Below are 19151 nucleotides of genomic sequence, written 5' to 3'. Positions count from 1 at the left end.
CAAATTTATAAAACAGCCTCAATGAAAGGGATAAAGGTGAAAAGTGCTGACCCAGGTAACTGTGAAAATGAATAAAATTTGTAAGATTAAAGCAAAAGGAATGATGCTGCACTCTTGATAAAGTTGTCTCTTATGGAGGGTATGGGTTAACAATTCTGAAACCACTATACATGTACAGTCATGCATTACTTAATGATGGGGATACATTCTGAGAAATGTGTTGTTAGGTAATTTCATCATCGTGCAAACATCATAGAGTGTACTTACATAAACCTAGATGGTCTAGCCTACTACACACCTAGACTGTATGGTATAGCCTATTGCTCTTAGGCTACAAACCTGTACAGCATGTTATTCTACTGAATACTGTAGTCAACTGTAACATAATGGTAAGTATGTGTCTAAACATAGAAAAGTACAGTAAAAATTTGGTACTATTTATACCACAAACTATTAAAACGTGGTATCATATATGCAGTCTGTAGTTGACCAAAATGTCATTATGTAGCATATGACTACATACCAGAAGTAAACAGTTAAGTAACAGATTGTGAGTGGTAGGAACCAGGTTTCTCACTGTTGGAGTAGGAGGTTATAGACAAGCAAAGGGAGGAGGCTAGAGTGATCCATGTGGTAATAGATTAGAATTAGAGACATGAGTATGATCTCATGTTTAGCTTACCGTAGATACAGGTGGTTACATATACATATATTCATAGATATATGTATATGTGTGTATATATGTATGGGTCAGAATACACATATTTCCTTACTGCATTGGCTAACAGGGCCTAGAAGCAACAAATGCCTCAGTAGAAAGGAGCATACCTAGTATCCATGTATCCATATCATGGCTTCTAATACCATTTTCCAATAAAAGGAACCAGGGTTCCTTGGAGAAATGGCTGATTCTAGCACTGGGGCAGGAAATATATAATATGAGCCTAGAGCATGTTGTAGTGCCAAAAAATAAGGATATGCTCAAAAAAGACCCCACAATGATAGGAGTTTGTCAAAGGGAAATGGAGTCAATTGAAAGAGTTCCCAGTAGCCAAAGCTGGAACAATTTGACCAACAAAATGTAGTAATGGATTATAACTCAAAGCACAAAATAAATGAGTCCATACTGATATAAATGATTTAATAGATAAATAAATGGGAAAGAAAAAGACAAATCTCCCATGTAAAACAATTCCAAATAATTTCTGTAGATATTTCACCCTCATGGAGGTGAAACCTAACTTCCTAGTCCTACGTGTGAGCTAAACCAGGGGGTCCCCATCCACGGGGCCATGGACTGATACCAGTCTGTGGCCTGTTAGGAACCAGTCCGCGTAGCAGGAGGTGAGCAGAGGGCGAGCAAGCATTACAGCCTGAGCTCCACCTCCTGTCAGATCAGTGGCGGCATTAGATTCTCAGAGGAGCACGAACCTTATTTGTGAACTGCGCATGCGAGGGATGTAGGTTGTGCACTCCTTATGAGAATCTAACTAATGCCTGATGATCTGAGGTGGAACAGTTTCATCTCAAAACCATCCTCACCCCCCACCGCCGGTTTCGTTGAAGATGAAATTGTCTTCCATGAAACTGGTCCCTGTCCCTGGTGCCAAAAATGTTGTGGACCGCTGTTCTACGCAGTGACTTCCTTCCGAAGAGTACAGTATGGAAAGAAGAAAAAATAGTTTTACAGTGGATAAACCTGGCAAACATTACACCTCAGCCAGGTGATCAAGGTCAACATCAACAGTGATAAGTCATATTGATAGTATGTGCTCCTTAATAAGACATAATGAGAAAGACACTCCACCTCTGCGGTCTTCATCTCCAAAATTCCATTGTAATCTTGAGAAAAACATCAGACAAATCCCAATTGAGAGACATTCTACAAAATACCTGACCAGTACTCTTCAAAACTGTTAAGGTCATCAAAAACAAGGAAAGTCTGAGAAACTGTCACAGCCAAGAGGAGCCCTTAGCTCCTTAGAGACATGAAGAATATGTAATATAGTATCCTGGATGAGACACTTAGGTAAAAACTAAGTAAATCTGAAGAAATTATGTACTTTAGCTAATTAAAAAAAAAGTAAGTGGGGGAAAAATTAGAGGACATCAATTCTAAAATTTGGCCGTTTTCCTAATTAAGTAACCTAAATGAACCCTTTAAAGCCTGTGGACATCATCATAGGTTTCATTTTAAAGATCCAGCATATTACATTGATGTGGTTTATAGCCCTGCAGAGCTTTCCATATGGGCCACTTTTTTTTTAAGTTCAAAAGGCAACAGTAATGTTTGCCATTCTTCCAGGCTAAGTGTTTAGGGACGTTCAAGTGTTATAAGAATGATTAATTTCAAAATACCTTTTCTTTTCGTTCCCACACAATCCACACAGTTGCTCTAGTCAGATAGCTTGAGGGAAGCCTAACTGAAGTGATAATAGTAGATTTCTCCATGAGCTGGAACCCAAGATATTTTACTTTGTTTTCAGTTTCTCTCTGGAGAAAAACTATGACATATTTTTACAGTGTGGCAAAACAAATAGAAATGTTTTGCAATTTACTTGGCAAATTTCAAGTACCCTCAGGTTTTTTATTCTATCACATTTGAGTATTAAGATTTTTTTTCTTCTCCTGGATTTTGGTAGGTTATGTTGAAACTCAGCAGGCAGTATGGGGGAACACAGCCTACCCAATAATATGCTTAGGCTTTGAAGTCATCCCTGACTCTTTTCTATTTTATTTCCCATATCTAATTGGTCCTATCAGTTCCCCCTCTGAAATTTGTCCAGAACTTATTTCTTCCTCTACATTCCTGCTGTCTTCATTCAGGCCTTTTGATCTTTTGCCTAGATTACAAAAAAACAAGTTTCACTCACTGGTCTTCTCGTCTCCAACCTACACTACTCAAGCCACCCTCCACACTGCCAAAAATTCTCTAAAACTCAAATGTGATCATATCATTCCTCTGCTTTTAGTTCATTTGATGGTGCTTTGGTTACAAATGAGGTCGAAAAGTGTACACAATCTGGACCCCACCTAGATTTCTAACTAGATCTCCTCCTACCCTAGCCCCTGCAGTCTTCCTTCTTGCTCCAACTGCCACCACCCTTCCCACCCCAGGGGGCCTCAGACCTCAAACCCACAGACTCTGTTTCTTGAATATAAAAGGCTCTCTCATGCTGCTGGACCTTTATCTGTGTTGCTCTCCCTGCCAGGAATGTCTCTTCATTCAACAGTTAGGGAGTAGCAAGGCACACTAGGTAGAAAGACAGGGAGGTGAGGAAAAAAGGGGAATCGAAGAGCATTACTAAAACAGCACAGTGCTAGGCTCATATCTGGGTGTTCCATAAGTATCAAATGAGTAAGTGAATGAATGAATGAATGAATGCACTGCTGACCATAAGGTGCAGGCTGCAGAGGCAGGCAAGTGAGAACAGATGGACTATGAGAACAGTCCTCCGTGTTTTTCTGTTACTCAAACTCTTTTTCTATTCCCTCCACCTTCTTTCACATCTCTATGTTTATGTTTCTTCTAATTTACAAACTACTATAACACTACCTCAGATGCATTTAACCATGCCATGCATAATTTATTTATTCATTCCTCATAAATCAAGCCCTCTAGCCATCTGGAAAACAAGAACCACTTTTATTGCCTTTCAAGCCCCTTCTCACTAATCTTTTTAGTACGTGCTATTGTGCCTGGTACAAAATGTAGTATTTTATGCAGTTTCACCTCTGAATATCAAGGACATTGTGACCTTTTTGTTGTCGTTGTCTTTATTAGGAAATCCCATGTGAAAACATTAAATAAAGTAAGAGCAATTAGAAAGCAAAGCAAGAAAGTTATATCACTACAGAGTGGGCTATAAGTGGGCTGATTTTCGTGTTTGTCTCATGAAAAGCAGCCTCATTATTTTATGGTTAGACCTTGTAAACTAGAAGCAGTAGTTCTCCTGTAAAGGCTAATGAAAAGTGATGAAGGACTATTCATGTGAAAACACATTCTACAATCATAGGTAATGTCAAAATCTCATTCTGCTTCAGTTTTCTAGTCTATGAAATGAGAATAATACATAGTCACTTGCCCCAATCATCTACTGAGAGCAACATGAACACACAAAGTACTTTGCAGTTATAGATGATGGATACCATTTTCTATTAGAAGTAACAATGATTAACCACTCTGGTTTAACCAGAAGACTTTAAGTAGAGGTAGCCAATGTAAGCTTATGAATCCCCCTAACTGACCACTTCACTAAAGTCAGTGATTGGTGTAACTGACTCAGTATGGTTATAACTACACATAAGCAGAAGCAATATGCTAACACAGTTCTCTTTGGTAGAAGTAGGCAGATGACCACTAACTACTATACCATGAGTACCCTTCCTTTATGAACTTTAAATTCAGGGGCCCTCTCCTACTGTCCCTTTCCTGACATATCTTCCCAAGGCAAATTCCTTGTTATTCTTTTTAACCTGTGGCTTTTATACTGGTATGTTCACCCCAAATTAGTCACCTCCTCAGAGAAACCTTCCCTGACCTTCCTAACTAAAGTATTATTCCCCAGTTATAATCTATTGTCATTCAGTTTATTTCCATCCTAGTACTTATCATGATGGGTAATTAACTAAGTAATCTTTTTACTCGTTTACTGCCCTCCCCAGCTAGCTCTAAGTTCTAGGTCAATATTTGTCTTAATCCCACCACTGTATCCCCAGTGCCTACAATAGAGCCTGGTTCACAGCAGGTGCTCTAAAACTATTTGTTGAATGAATTGATGAAGGAGTTTCATCCTTACAGTGACAATAAGGTTAATTAAAACTTATTAGCATGACATTCAAGGCCCGACTGTAAGATCCTTTGAGGTGGCCGCACAATGGTCAAGCCATTGTGACATTCCCCTGCCCTTGTGATAATGTACTTTGTGATATTCCCCATCCTTGTGAATGTACTTTGTAACATCCTCCCTGCTCTTGAGAATGTACTTTGTAACATCCATCCCCTGCCCGCAAAAAATTGCTCCTGACTCCACCGCCTATCCCAAACCTATAAGAACCAATGATAATCCCACCACCCTTCACTGACTCCTTTCTCGGACTCAGCCCACTTGCACCCAAGTGAATAAACAGCCTTGCTGCTCACACTAAGCCTGCTCAGGTGATCTCTTATACGGATGCACATAACACCAACTATCTGGACTTACATTCTGCCTTTTTATATCTCCATATATTCTGCCTGTTGATATCTCTGTAAAAGCATACTTTCTGCCTGAAGTGTTCTTCCTACCAAATAACTAATCTTTCAAGACCTCGCTCCAAAACATCTTTTCTATGAAATCTCCAGTCCTTCGCAGAAACACACCCACACATGAAATGCTTATTCTGCTAAATTCCTATAAAAGCTATAGAACTTATAATACAGGGTTGTAGCAATAATAATAATAAAATAATGATACTGAACATGTTATTGAGCACTTAACTGTATGCCAGGTATAGTTATAAGCACTATATATGTATTATCTCATTTAATCCTGAAAATAACTCTAAGGGGTAGGAACTATCATAAGTATTTATGTGGCTATTTAGCTAGCTATAATCAACTTCATGAAGGCAGGGATGGTATCTTCAAGCCTTGCTAATTCCCAGAGCTCAGCAAAGTGTCTACAATGTCTTATGTACTTAATATGAATTTGCTGCATAATGAATTTGACAGCAGTTCCTTGTCCTCTGTCTACTTTTACAATGGCAATCCCAGTTAAAGAACCAGACAGAGTTTTAAAGTAATTATACAAATGTAATCTTAAAGTGATACTGTCCTTTCTAAGTACAATAAGGAATTCAGAAGTCATAAAGGAAAGGGGCAATATACATGGCTATATAAACATTTTAAATATCTGTAAATTTAAAAAAAAGTTAAAAGAGACAAACTAGAAGTGGATAAAATACATTTAACCTACATCAGACAAAAGAGTAATAATAGTATATGAAGGGCTCTGGTAAAGAAATAAAAACAAATAATCAGCCTATTAGAAAAATAGGAACATCACATGAACAGGAAACTTTCAGAGAAAGAAACTGAAACGGTTTGTAAACATATAAAAATATGCTCAACCTCATTAATTAAATAAATGAAAATTAAAATGAGATTTATTTATCCTATCATATTGTAAAGATGAAAAAAGAATGGTAATGTCAGCACTGCTAAGATTGTGGGGAAATAGGCATTCTCATACACTTATGCGACAAAAATACTCTCATATGCCTAGAAGACATAGATGCAAGGTTGTTTGTTGCAGCATTGTTTGTAACAGCAAAAGATCAGAAAAACTGAAATGTGCATCAATAGAAGCTTGGTTAAATAAGCCATGGCACAAACATACCATGAAATTGTATGCAGCCATTGAAAAGAATATGCAGCTAGGTAACCAGATAACCAAGGAGGGGGATTTTAATTTTACGAATGCATTCCAGTTAATAAAAAATCCAATTATAGAAAGAGGAAACGATTTCAACATATACTTCATCAAACAGTATATAAGGTGGGCAGATATGCACATGAAATGCTATTCAACGTCATTAGCCATTAAGGAAATTAAATTGAGACAATGATGAGATAACACTACATACGTATTATACTAGGATGGCCAAAATACCAAGTGCTGTTAAGGGTGCAGAGCAAGTAGAACTCTCATACATAGCTAGTTCAGATGCAAAATGGTACCGGCACTCTGGTTTGTCAGTTTCTTATAAAGTTAAACACATTTACCATATGACTAAGTGATCCTACTCCTGGGTATACTACTCAGCAAGAAGAAGAAATGAACAACTTAGATATATCTCCAAGGCATTAATCTGAGTGAAAGCAGTCTCAAGGAGTGACATACTATGTGATTCCATGTACATGACATCATTGAAAAGAAAAGAAACTATAAGGACAGAGAAAAGATCACTGGTACCAGGGGTTAGGGAGGAAGGAGGTCTGACTGCAAAGGAGTGGCAAGAGGGAATTCTTTAGGGAGTTGAACTGTTCTGTATCCTGTCAGTGGTGGTAGTTACAATAATCTAGCCATTTGTTAAAAACTCACAGGACTGTGTGCTAGAAAATAAAATTAAAAAAAAATAAAATTTTATTGTACATAAATTTTAAAAAATTAAGATAAATTATCATCACCAATAATGATACCTCCTACTTCTCGGTCTAAGGGAGGAACATCATCTCTCATGGAGAAATCCATAGCGGTTGCTGGAATGTCCATCAGGTCTTCATCACTGGAGCTGTTCTGGAAGCTACTAAAACTCCCCTGCTGAAAGCCTCTGTTATCCATGGCACCTGTGCAGAAAGAAAAATAGGAGGCTTATAACAATGATCTTCAAGTCCCTTACACGTAACATTTGCCATTTGAACCATTTTGAAGTATACAATTCAGTAGCATTGAGTACACTTACTATGTGCAACTATCACGACTATCCATTTCCAGAACTATTTCATCATCCCAAACAGAAATTCTGTACCCAACAAACAGTAACTCCCCATCCCCCAGGCCCTGGTAACCTCTATTATACTTTTTGTCTCTATAGATTTGCTGATTCTGGATATTTCATATAAATGAAATCACACAATATGTGACACTTTGTGTCTGGTTTCTTTCACTTAGCGTAATATTTTCAACATCCATCCATGTTACAGCATGTATCAGCACTTCATCAATTTTTATGGCTGAATATTATTTCACTGTATGGATAGACCACATTTTGTTTATCTATTCATCAGCTGATGGACATCTGGGTAATCTTCACCTTTTGGGTTGGCACTTAGTCTTATGTCTTCTTTCATGCTCTTGCATGAATATATTCATGCAAACTAAATATATTCAGTTACCCTCTAGATATAATGTACCTCTAGCATTACCATGTAGTTGATGGCAATATTTGAGAACCATTCAAATGAGTATAAAACCAAATGAGGGCATGTGTACAAACATAACAGTAGTTCACAAGTAATCAACTGAAATAAAAACTAGACATCAGTATTGAGAAATGTGCTGGCCATTTGAGAATGGGGAAAAAAAATTATCTTATTCTTCTGACTCTCCCAGACGTCTTAATACAGTGTATATGCACAGAAATACTAGATGACTGACATGGGGAAAAGAAACATAGTGTGCCATTCAATGCTGTTCTTAAGAATTTAATATTAAAGATGAAAAATGTTCTTCATCCCAAGTGTAATTTTTCAGATTGTAAATTTTACTTAAAAAATATTAGTATACTGATTTATTTAGTTTTTAAAAGCATTATGGCCAACTTTATGTAGGCCCACCCTCCCTATTTCTTAAAGAAAATCTTAGTCAAAAATCATACCCAGAAAAGTTCTACTGAATTACACAAATATTATTTGTTTTAAACTTTCCAACTCTTTAAAGAAACTTCTTTTCCTAGGTTGTCAGAACTAAGAGTGATGAATGTGGTAAAAAACAAATAGGATAAATCAAGTAAGAGGCCTAAAAAGCAGGCCTTAAATATTCAGCAAAAAGGAGAAAGAACCAACATTTACCAGGTACATGTCAATTTCTAGGCACTGGGCTATGTGCTTAAAATGAATTATTTCCTTTAATTTTTCCTACATTCCTATGCTATGGCATTATCACTCCTAGTGTAGATAAGGAAACTGAAAGCTGCAAAAGGCTAACTTGCCCAGTTAGTGTTGTTGTTGTTGTTGTTTTTAAAGTTAAGGTCCAAATCATGTGTTCAATTTCACAATACCTCATTTGTGATAAAGAGACCAGCTTGACCGAAGTGTGAGTGACATTTATGAACACCTACTATGCATGAATCATTGTGGCATAGTGGGCCAGATACAAAAATGATGCTGGATAGGCCAGATGAGATGAAGATTGATTGGCAAAGACTTGGGAGTTAACAACATCAAGGTGATGATTGAAACTAAGAGAACAGATACCCCAAGGGAAATTTCCTATATAAATGTTTGAGGTAATGGATATGCTAATTACTTTGATTTGATCATTACACAAAGTATACATGTATTGAAACATCACACTGTACCGCATAAATATGTACAATTATATGTCAATTTAAAATAAAATTTAAAAAGAAATGCAATCTCAATGTTCTTTAGCATGCACAAGTAACTTGAAATCTGTGCAAATGTGAACTAAATAATAGGTTATTCTGGAACACTACCATGCATACATGATGATATATGGTCAGGTAGGGAAGGATACAAAGTTACCCCAAGGTACTAATAACGTACAAAATTATTGACCATAAAACAACTTCCTCAGCTACAAAAGTTAACCTTGATGTGTGGATCAAATGGGTGCTGGGATACTAAGAAGCCATGTTTTATAGCCTCAGCCAAGCTCCCTTGCTGCTCACCAATCCAACCTTGCTGGACTTTTCTGCCATTCATTATCCTGCTTTCTTCAATCCCTTTCTCCGGAGAGGACTCCCTCAGTAAAGGACTCACACAAAATCCTGTCTCTGCTTCTGCTTCTAGGGAACCAGGCCTAATACAGGATTGTTAGCAGGTTTTTCCTATTACCAACAACAGACGAGAAATTGACTCTGTCTGTCTTCCCTCCTGTCATTCAGGAAGAAGTGCCTTTACTTTTTATTTAAGAAAAAAGAAAATCAGCCGGGCATGGTGGATCACACCTGTAATCCCAGCACTTTGGGAGGCCGAGGTGGGTGGATCACCTGAGGTCAGGAGTTCGAGACCAGCTTGACTAACATGGTGAAACCTCGCCTCTACTAAAAATACAAAAATTAGCCAGGCGTGGTGGTGTGTGCCTGTAATCCCAGCTACTCAGGAGGCTGAAGCAGGAGAATCGCTTGAAACCGGGAGGCGGAGGTTGCAGTGAGCCGAGATTGTGCCACTGCACTGCAGCCTGGGTGACAGAGCAAGACTCCATCTCAAAAAAAAAGAAAAAAAAAATTCATTCTGTGTTGATGTTGGTCAGATTAAGAGTGCATCCAAAGCATCTTTACTTGAGCTTTCGGGCACATGCTGGCTCATAGAAGTTTATTTTGTTTTTTAATGATGAAACTATTTTGTCTGCTTTACAAATAACTGTACCTTACAGTGAACATTGCAACACACAACATGTATAAGATCAGGAAACATTGTTGGGTAATATTTAAACATTTGGATCTCCTAAGCAAGGTTAAACAACACCACACAGAATCACATGACAAAACTGCCAATATAAGGGCCTATTTCACTTCTGAGGCTTGTTATTTCTTGGAACACCACTCAGGATCTATATAAAGTATACTATGCATATAAACGTATTACTATTTATCTTTTGTGGGTTGGTTGGTTGTTTGTTTTTGAGACAGAGTCTTGCTCTGTCACCCAGGCTGGAGTGTGGTGGTGCCACTACTGCTCATTGCAGCCTTGGCCTCCCAGGCTCAAGCAATCCTGCCACCTCAGCGTCCCAAGTAGCTGGGACTACAGGCGTGCGTCACTGTGCCCAGTTAATGTTTTTTTGTTTGTTTGTTTTGTTTTTTGTACAGATAGGGTCTCACTATTTTGGCCAGGCTGGTCTTGAACTCCTGGGCTCAAGCAATCCTCCCACCTCAGCCTCCCAAAGTGTTGGGATTACAAGCGTAAGCCACAGCACCCTGCCTACTATTGATCTCATTGGTAGAATGACTCACTGTTAGCAGCAGACAAGACCATGGACATAAACATACAACATGTAACAGCTATAATCAAGGTTAACTAATTAAATCATGACTTTCTCTCTTATAAGCCCCTGGACCTCTTCCTGGAAATGTTGACCTCAACCTTTGACTCTATGCGTCAAAGTTTTCTGTTCTTGCTTTGAATGTAACATCAGCAGATTCCTTCAAACCAGTAACATTTCTATGTTGATTGCTAATTTGCTCCCACTTTCCAAATTTCTCAACTGACTTTTGGGGAGAATCAAAATTTGGAAAAACATAAACTTCCTGAAAAGTGCTGGAAGGAATACCCATATGTAATTGCTACTTGGAACAGATCCTGTTCCGGGATTATGAGGTTCATGATCTTGACACTCTTGAAGATTACAGGCTAATTATTTTGTAGACAATATCTCAATTTTGGTTTGTTTGATGTTTCCTCACAAATAGACTCAGGTTATACATCTTTGACAATAATATCAGAGAAGTGACATTGTGTTCTTCTATTTGCATCCTGTTAGAGGGCACATACTTTTTATTTGCCCCACTAATGATGATACTTATTTGATCACTTGATAAAAGTGATATCTTCCAGGTCTTTACATTGTTAATATATCATTTGTCTCTTTGTAACAGTGATTATTTTATGATGAGGTACTTTGACACTAAGTAAAAAAACCATTTCTTATAAAAACATTTTCATTCAATCAACTGAATTCATTTCATTCAATAAAATTATATTCAATTTATATATAAATAAATCCTAATTTTTTCAATGGGTTATAATCTATTGCTATTGTTTTCATACTCAAATTTTCCAAACTTCTCCAGTGGGAACTTTTTCAAGCTGGCTTCTATGTTCTTTTGACATATCCCCATTATGCTTTGAGAATTAACTTAATTTCTGTCACAAAAGACATTCCAGACTCATCTTGTATTTTCATGCTCCATCTCCAATATCAGCCATTTCTTCCAGGAACTCTGAGTCCTTTTAGTTGGGGGTGGTATTTAAAAGACATGTTCTGGGTGCTCATTGTTATTCGGGTTGCTGCTCCCCAATGGACATAGGTAGGGAACACACACACACTTTCACATATATTTTCACATCCACCTATATATATTGACAACATGTATGTTTTACATATATCAATATTTACACATGTAAAAAACATAAGTTTTCACTTATATCTGATTCCAATCCAACATAACAAGGCTCAATTTAGTCTTTTCTCTTCCTATATATGTACCTTCCCCTTCATTAACAATGAAAAATCTTTTAATTTTTTTACTTTCTTGAACAATCCTCCTGTATATAACCAGTCTCCTATCTTTTCCTCAACTCTTCTCTGCACAGATGATCTCCTCATACCTGTCAGGTTGACTCACACAACTGAACTACTACTCCATGTAGATTCCTTCTTTACCCTGCTCAGCCTCTGACACCCACAGCAAGCCATATATCCATGTGGAAGTCCAGATGTCATCTTCAATGTGTTTAAGTTCTAGTATTCAAGCCAACCACCTGAGTGGGTGCCCTTCTCATATCACTTGGGCTCTGACTCCCTAAGCAAGGCCACCTACATGCACAGATGTCCTCTTTAAACAAACAAAATAAATACAAAGAAAAAAGAAAACAAACAGCCCCTCCACTTTGCTCTGGATCTTAGCTCCTATGTAACTCAGATAACAGATATTTCCCAGATTTAACCTGATTTATTAAGGAAACTTACTATTTCTAGCTCTCATTTCTCCCTCAAGCTACAGTCCTGAATTACCAAGAACTCCAATAGACACTTTTATTGCTACTTTAACCTTAATAGCAGGACAAGGGAAAAAACAGTGAAAATAATATTAACCTAAACACAAATAATAAAATCCAAACAAGACAAATCATCTTTCCTTTATAAATGTAGGCAGCATCAGAGTCAATATTTATGGTTAATGTTTGTCTCACTCTGAGATTTACATTTGACAAACCTACAAAAAGCACTCAACCTCGCAAGCAGGCACTCAAGGTTTCTACAAATCTTAGCTAAAAACAAGAACCATTTTAGCTGATGAGAAGAACTGAGGCTAAGAGAGTAGCACAATTCAGTAAGTTTTCTTTTAGTGTAAATTTATTAAATGTCCATGAGTCCCATATGGTGACTAGCACAGAAAGAAAAAGCAAGAAAATTTGCAAAGTAATGCAGAATTCCTTTCCCTCTCTCTCCCCTCGCTGGTTATGTTTCACTCAGGAAGTGATTTAAAATACATGGTTCCAGCAACTCTACATTAGCCAAACAAATCATGGGAAGTAAAGGTACAGGGAGTCCAAAAATAACTTATCTCTGGCTTTGGAATGTGTCCTGTAGTCATAGTTTCAGATGGGTGTACCTATTGTTCTGGGAATTCATTAAAACAAAATAATGACACTATAAGATGAAGACCCAACAAAGGAGAAGCTGGAAAACTTTTTAGTTTCCTCATTAGGCACCTTACGAACTTCTTCCTGTAACCCACTGACAGAACAATCCAGCTAAATTGAGCTGCCTCATTTCAAACATTTCCTGCAGCAGCTATCTGGTTCACTGTTTGGGTTATAAAGCGTCCTTTTAGTAAATGCATAGAAAGAAAGGGTCAACAAAAGAAAATTGGAAGAAGCAAGTAAATCAAGCAAAACAGATGTTATGAATATAATCAGTAAAAGTGAAAGTGGTACTTACCCATGGTGCAAGTGATATTGCCCATTTTGATACAGTCTTTAGAAGAATGTTCAAGAGAAAAAATTAAAGCTGCAGAGTAATGAGAAACCAATTCAATGTTCCTTAGAGTTGAGATTTGAATCCATATATAGTTGAACTCCAAGCCCAGTGCTCTTTCCATAACACACTGGGGCTTCACAACGACATGTCAGTCTAGAGAATGGCACATCTGGAAGAAATTAAACTTCTAGATGGCCACAAGCCTGAGGTCAGCCAGAATTTGGGGTAGGCCAGGAACAAATGTAATGGGATTTGATTTATTTTCCCAACTAGAGGATTACAGATAGGACTTGCCATGCAATTGAGAGCTAAGAAGGACAGCAAACAGGGGAAATTGTTGTTTGGCTGATATTTGTGTTACAAAGCTTGTATGCCCTTTGTCACTTTCTTGCTTAAAATTATAAGCTGGTTCCCCATGCGTAGAGAGTTAAGTTTAAAACTTCTTTGTATGGCATTCAGTGCCCTATCAAATCTGGATCCCATCCACACCAACAGACTTATCTCTTGCCACAAATTTGTTATACCCTACCTAGGCCACGTACTTTCAGGCCTCCATGCCTGTGCTCAGGCAAGCTGCCCTATGTGGAATCCCACCCACCCCCACCTCCATTCTTTTTTCAGTATGGTAAAACCCCATTCAACATACCTAGGGCCAGCTCAAATAGGCTTTCCTCTCAACATTCCCTTTGTTCACATATCTATGTTGACTGCATAATCTCTTCTACTTGAGTCTTGTGACTACACCATGTCCTTCTCACTTCCATTGTTCTGGCAACTCCAGTGTTGTCTCAGAGTAGGTGTTCAATAAATGCTTACTGAGGAGTATTCCAGTTGGGGAGGAAGGGTTAAGAGGTAATCAACATATTTATATGGCTGACACTCAATAAATCTTTACCTTGCCCTATGAGGGAAGGGAATTAGGGAGATAAAAAGAGTTTATTACTTCATCATTACTCTCAAGGAATTTATGATCTAGTTGGGAAGAAAACCTTCACACCATGCAATTACACAGCAGCTAGGTGTTAAATTGTTACAATTGGCATTCAGAAAATGGAATGGGAGATTGCTAGCTAGAGACTTCAGGGAGGAGAGAGGGTATTCCAGGACCAAGAAACAAAATGGCCAAAGACTTGAAGATGAGAATGAAGGTGGCATTCGTGCTTGGCTAGAAGACAAGGAAGGTGTCTATGAACAAATGGATAGAGACAGGTCATGAAGGACCTGGTAAGTCAATGGAGTCACTGAGGTTTTTGAGGAGCAACATGATAAAAACATCATTTTAGGAGGTAAGTGTGGCAGGAGTAGTCTGGAAGAGAAGAGGAGGAAAGGGCTGGTAAGGCAGTTTGCCATTTCCAATTTCAATGTAGGTGATTTAGGTTGGAGGAGAAAGAAGGAAAAGGGAAGGAAGAGTACACACTCCCAATAATTGTACTAAGATCAAGGCAAGGGCCCTTGGTGGGGGTGGACAGGATGGTGCTAGTTTGTGGTATGGCTTACTGGCATCCTGTTTTACTAGTGACATTGACATGTGTTGGTTCAAATAAATTAATACCATCTCAACTAACCCATTTGGCAAAAACAAATGTATAAAACAACAGGTGGGCTGACACACACGACCCCACAAATGAAAATACAAAGCATGTCACATATTTCACTGCTAGCAAGCACAGAGAAACAATAAACTTTTCTATTTCTTTCTTATTTTTGCTCCACAAAAGTATCTGTTGACCTATACATGGCATTCTGGGTAAGTAATATATGCCGGATACTGCAAACACAGAAAAGGGAGAATGCAAGAGGAAGAAGGGGATTAGAGATGCATTATACAATTAACGAACATACAAGTATTGTCATATCATTTAAAATAAAACATTAAGACAATCCGAAGTAAAGCAGCGAAAGCAATAGGAGCTGACACACACATAAAATCACCTTCTGTCTACCCACTATACTTTGAGCTACTCAAGGACAGAGTTACTGAAATCTGTGCTCCCAAGTGCCTGACACAAAGCGAGGGCTCAGAAAATAATCTAGCTTATACTCCATTTCCAGTTTTAGTTACTTTATTTTGAGAAATGGAAATCAAATGCAAATCTTGCATGTTAATCTCTGAGTGCCATAGAACGTGCTTATTTCAGAGGCTTGGACTAATTCTTAACCCATAGCACTTTCTCCACCTGTTAGAATTTCAGACATTTCAGGCTAGAATTCCAGGAGGAAATAGTAGTGCTTCTTCTTACAGAGTAGTCTTCATCTGGGAGTTATTCCTACAGACGAGTAGGGGTTATGAGAAAAAGGTGAGGACTCTGAACAGACAATACCAGAGCAGCAGTTCTCAAACTTTTTGCTCTCAGGATCCCTTTAGTCATCAAAATTACTGAGGACCCTTAAAGAGCTTTTATTTATATCGATAACATCTATAGATATATATTGTATTTGAAATTAAAATGTTTGAAGTCAGGTAGCGTGATGCCTCCAGCTTTGTTCTTTTGGCTTAGGATTGACTTGGCGATGTGGGTTCTTTTTTGGTTCCATATGAACTTTAAAGTAGTTTTTTCCAATTCTGTGAAGAAAGTCATTGGTAGCTTGATGGGGATGGCATTGAACCTATAAATTACCTTGGGCAGTATGGCCATTTTCACAATATTGATTCTTCCTACCCATGGGCATGGAATGTTCTTCCGTTTCTTTGTATCCTCTTTTATTTCATTGAGCAGTGGTTTGTAGTTCTCCTTGAAGAGGTCCTTCATGTCCCTTGTAAGTTGGATTCCTAGGTATTTTATTCTCTTTGAAGTAATTGTGAATGGGAGTTCACTCATGATTTGGCTCTCTGTTTGTCTGTTATTGGTGTATAAGAATGATTGTGATTTTTGTACATTGATTTTGTATCTTGAGACTTTGCTGAAGTTGCTTATCAGCTTAAGGAGATTTTGGGCTGAGACAATGGGGTTTTCTAGATATACAATCATGTCATCTGCAAACAGGGACAATTTGACTTCCTCTTTTCCTAATTGAATACCCTTTATTTCCTTCTCCTGCCTAACTGCCCTGGCCAGAACTTCCAACACTATGTTGAATAGGAGTGGTGAGAGAGGGCATCCCCAAAACAGCATGGTACTGGTACCAAAACAGAGATATAGATCAATGGAACAGAACAGAGCCCTCAGAAATAACGCCGCATATCTACAACTATCTGATCTTTGACAAACCTGACAAAAACAAGCAATGGGGAAAGGATTCCCTAGTTAATAAATGGTGCTGGGAAAACTGGCTAGCCATATGTAGAAAGCTGAAACTGGATCTCTTCCTTACACCTTATACAAAAATTAATTCAAGATGGATTAAAGACTTAAACGTTAGACCTAAAACCATAAAAACCCTAGAAGAAAACCTAGGCAATACCATTCAGGACATAGGCATGGGCAAGGACTTCATGTCCAAAACACCAAAAGCAATGGCAACAAAAGCCAAAATTGACAAATGGGATCTAATTAAACTCAAGAGCTTCCGCACAGCAAAAGAAACTACCATCAGAGTGAACAGGCAACCTACAAAATGGGAGAAAATTTTCGCAACCTACTCATCTGACAAAGGGCTAATATCCAGAATGTACAATGAACTCAAACAAATTTACAAGAAAAAAACAAACAACCCCATCAAAAAGTGGGCAAAGGACATGAACAGACACTTCTCAAAAGAAGACATTTATGCAGCCAAAAAACACATGAAAAAATGCTCACCAACACCGGCCATCAGAGAAATGCAAATCAAAACCACAATGAGATACCATCTCACACCAGTTAGAATGGCAATCATTAAAAAGTCAGGAAACAACAGGTGCTGGAGAGGATGTGGAGAAATAGGAACACTTTTTCACTGTTGGTGGGACTGTAAACTAGTTCAACCATTGTGGAAGTCAGTGTGGCGATTCCTCAGGAATCTAGAACGAGAAATACCATTTGACCGAGCCATCCCATTACTGGGTATATACCCAAAGGACTATAAATCATGCTGCTATAAAGACACATGCACATGTATGTTTATTGCGGCACTATTCACAATAGCAAAGACTTGGAACCAACCCAGATGTCCAACAATGATAGACTGGATTAAGAAAATGTGGCACATATACACCATGGAATACTATGCAGCCATAAAAAATGATGAGTTCATGTTCTTTGTAGGGACATGGATGAAATTGGAAATCATCATTCTCAGTAAACTATCGCAAGAACAAAAAACCAAACACCACACATTCTCACTCATAGGTGGGAATTGAACAATGAGAACACATGGACACAGCAAGGGGAACATCACACTCTGGGGACTGTTGTGGGGTGGGGGGAGGGGGGAGGGATAGCATTAGGAAATACACCTAATGCTAAATGACGAGTTAATGGGTGCAGCACACCAGCATGGCACATGTATACATATGTAACTAACCTGCACATTGTGCACATGTACCCTAAAACTTAAAGTATAATAATAATAATAATAAAGAAATTAAAATGGAAAAATGTTTAAAATATACAATGATTTATTTAAATGTCACAATACTCAAATGTCTGGGTTAATAGAGGATTACTGGATTCTGCTTAACATATTCTACTAGTTCTCAGAGGAATGACATCTTCACCCATACTACAGTCTGCAGAAAATTCCACTGTATATTCATGAGAAAATGAGTAAAAAAGGCAAATAATATCTTAATATGAAAATAGTTTTGACCTTAAAGACCCCCTAAAAGGGTCTCAATAACTCACAGACTATACTGTGAGAATGTCTGAAGTAAAGAAAGAACTCAGCATGGACAAATTGTACTTGGGCAACACCCACAGTTGATGAGAAAGAGGAAGAGGACAAACCAGTCAGAAGAGACCATGTGGACAGCTGGGAAAGTGAAGCAAATAAACTAATATTTTCTGTAAATTCGCCCAAAGGAGTAACAGCCTATAGAGAGAGATTGTTTGAATCATTAAAATTGGATTCTAATAGATGAATAGGCAAAATACATTGGTAGATAATTTGTTTTTTAATGGCTTTAAAAATTCAGGTAAATTAAAATTAAAACAATAATATGCTATGTTCCCTTAGCTAATCAGCTTTTCTTTGGTGCTATCTCAGAGATTCTTCAGATATGATAAGAAATACCCTGTTATACAGGCTTTCAAGAGTGTCATAAATGTGAAGTGTAGAGAAGCACCCTGGAGGATCAAGGACAAGGGTCTACCAGGCCTGACGAAGACAACACTAGAAATGTAAAGATCACTTTCACTTTGGAACATACATGCAAAACTCCTAAATAAAACTTTAACAAACTAAATATAGCATCACCTTGAAAGATTTGCCTGCTATATATAAGAAGGAATTATTCCAGGAATGCAAGACCGGTATCACATGGGAAACTACCAACATAAGTTATCAGATTAACAGATAAAAATTTTAAATCCATAATTATCTTATCTCAACAGATGTCAGGAATTGATTTTTAAATTTACAGTCATTCTGTATTTAAAAGTTTAAAATGTTCCATGTAGAGGATTTCTTTCTTGACATGATGTAGAATATCTAAATTAAAAAACCAAGAAGCAAATACCATTCCCCTTAATACAGGAAGGCATGATACTTCTTGTTGCCAATTATATTTAACACGGTACAAGAAAAGCTTTAAAAGGACAAAAATGAGGAATGCGTATAGAAAAGGAAGATATATGGTATTCC

General features: G+C 37.8%; 1 protein-coding gene across 7 annotated transcripts in view, besides 1 other annotated feature; it reads right to left on the bottom strand.

Moving 5' to 3' along the window:
- Positions 1-19151, bottom strand: part of CLCN5 (chloride voltage-gated channel 5) — a 176635-nt gene that overhangs the window by 49585 nt on the left and 107899 nt on the right. For 3 of the 7 annotated variants that reach the window (NR_199781.1, NM_001127899.4, NM_001127898.4), the window contains exon 4: positions 7184-7330. Coding sequence is in view for 5 of the 7 variants with exons in the window: in NM_001127899.4 (NP_001121371.1) it covers positions 7184-7330 (147 nt within the window). In the remaining 2 variants the exon portion in view is untranslated. Of the gene's footprint in view, positions 1-7104; positions 7331-19151 lie in introns of those variants that run through there. The other 4 variants (NM_001440757.1, NM_001440756.1, XM_047441808.1 and 1 more) reach the window with 3 other exon arrangements.
- Positions 4540-5125: an enhancer, noted in NCBI's record as "OCT4-NANOG hESC enhancer chrX:49809130-49809715 (GRCh37/hg19 assembly coordinates)". NCBI's record gives its function as "activates a minimal SCP1, AML or CMV promoter by ChIP-STARR-seq in naive H9 embryonic stem cells {active_cell/tissue: H9 hESC(naive)}" and the evidence as "EXISTENCE:reporter gene assay evidence [ECO:0000049][PMID:30033119]".

The sequence above is a fragment of the Homo sapiens genome, chromosome X (genome assembly GCF_000001405.40).
Source record: "Homo sapiens chromosome X, GRCh38.p14 Primary Assembly".
Taxonomy (NCBI): Eukaryota; Metazoa; Chordata; class Mammalia; order Primates; family Hominidae; genus Homo; species Homo sapiens.
This window is presented reverse-complemented; position numbering and strand designations above follow the sequence as displayed.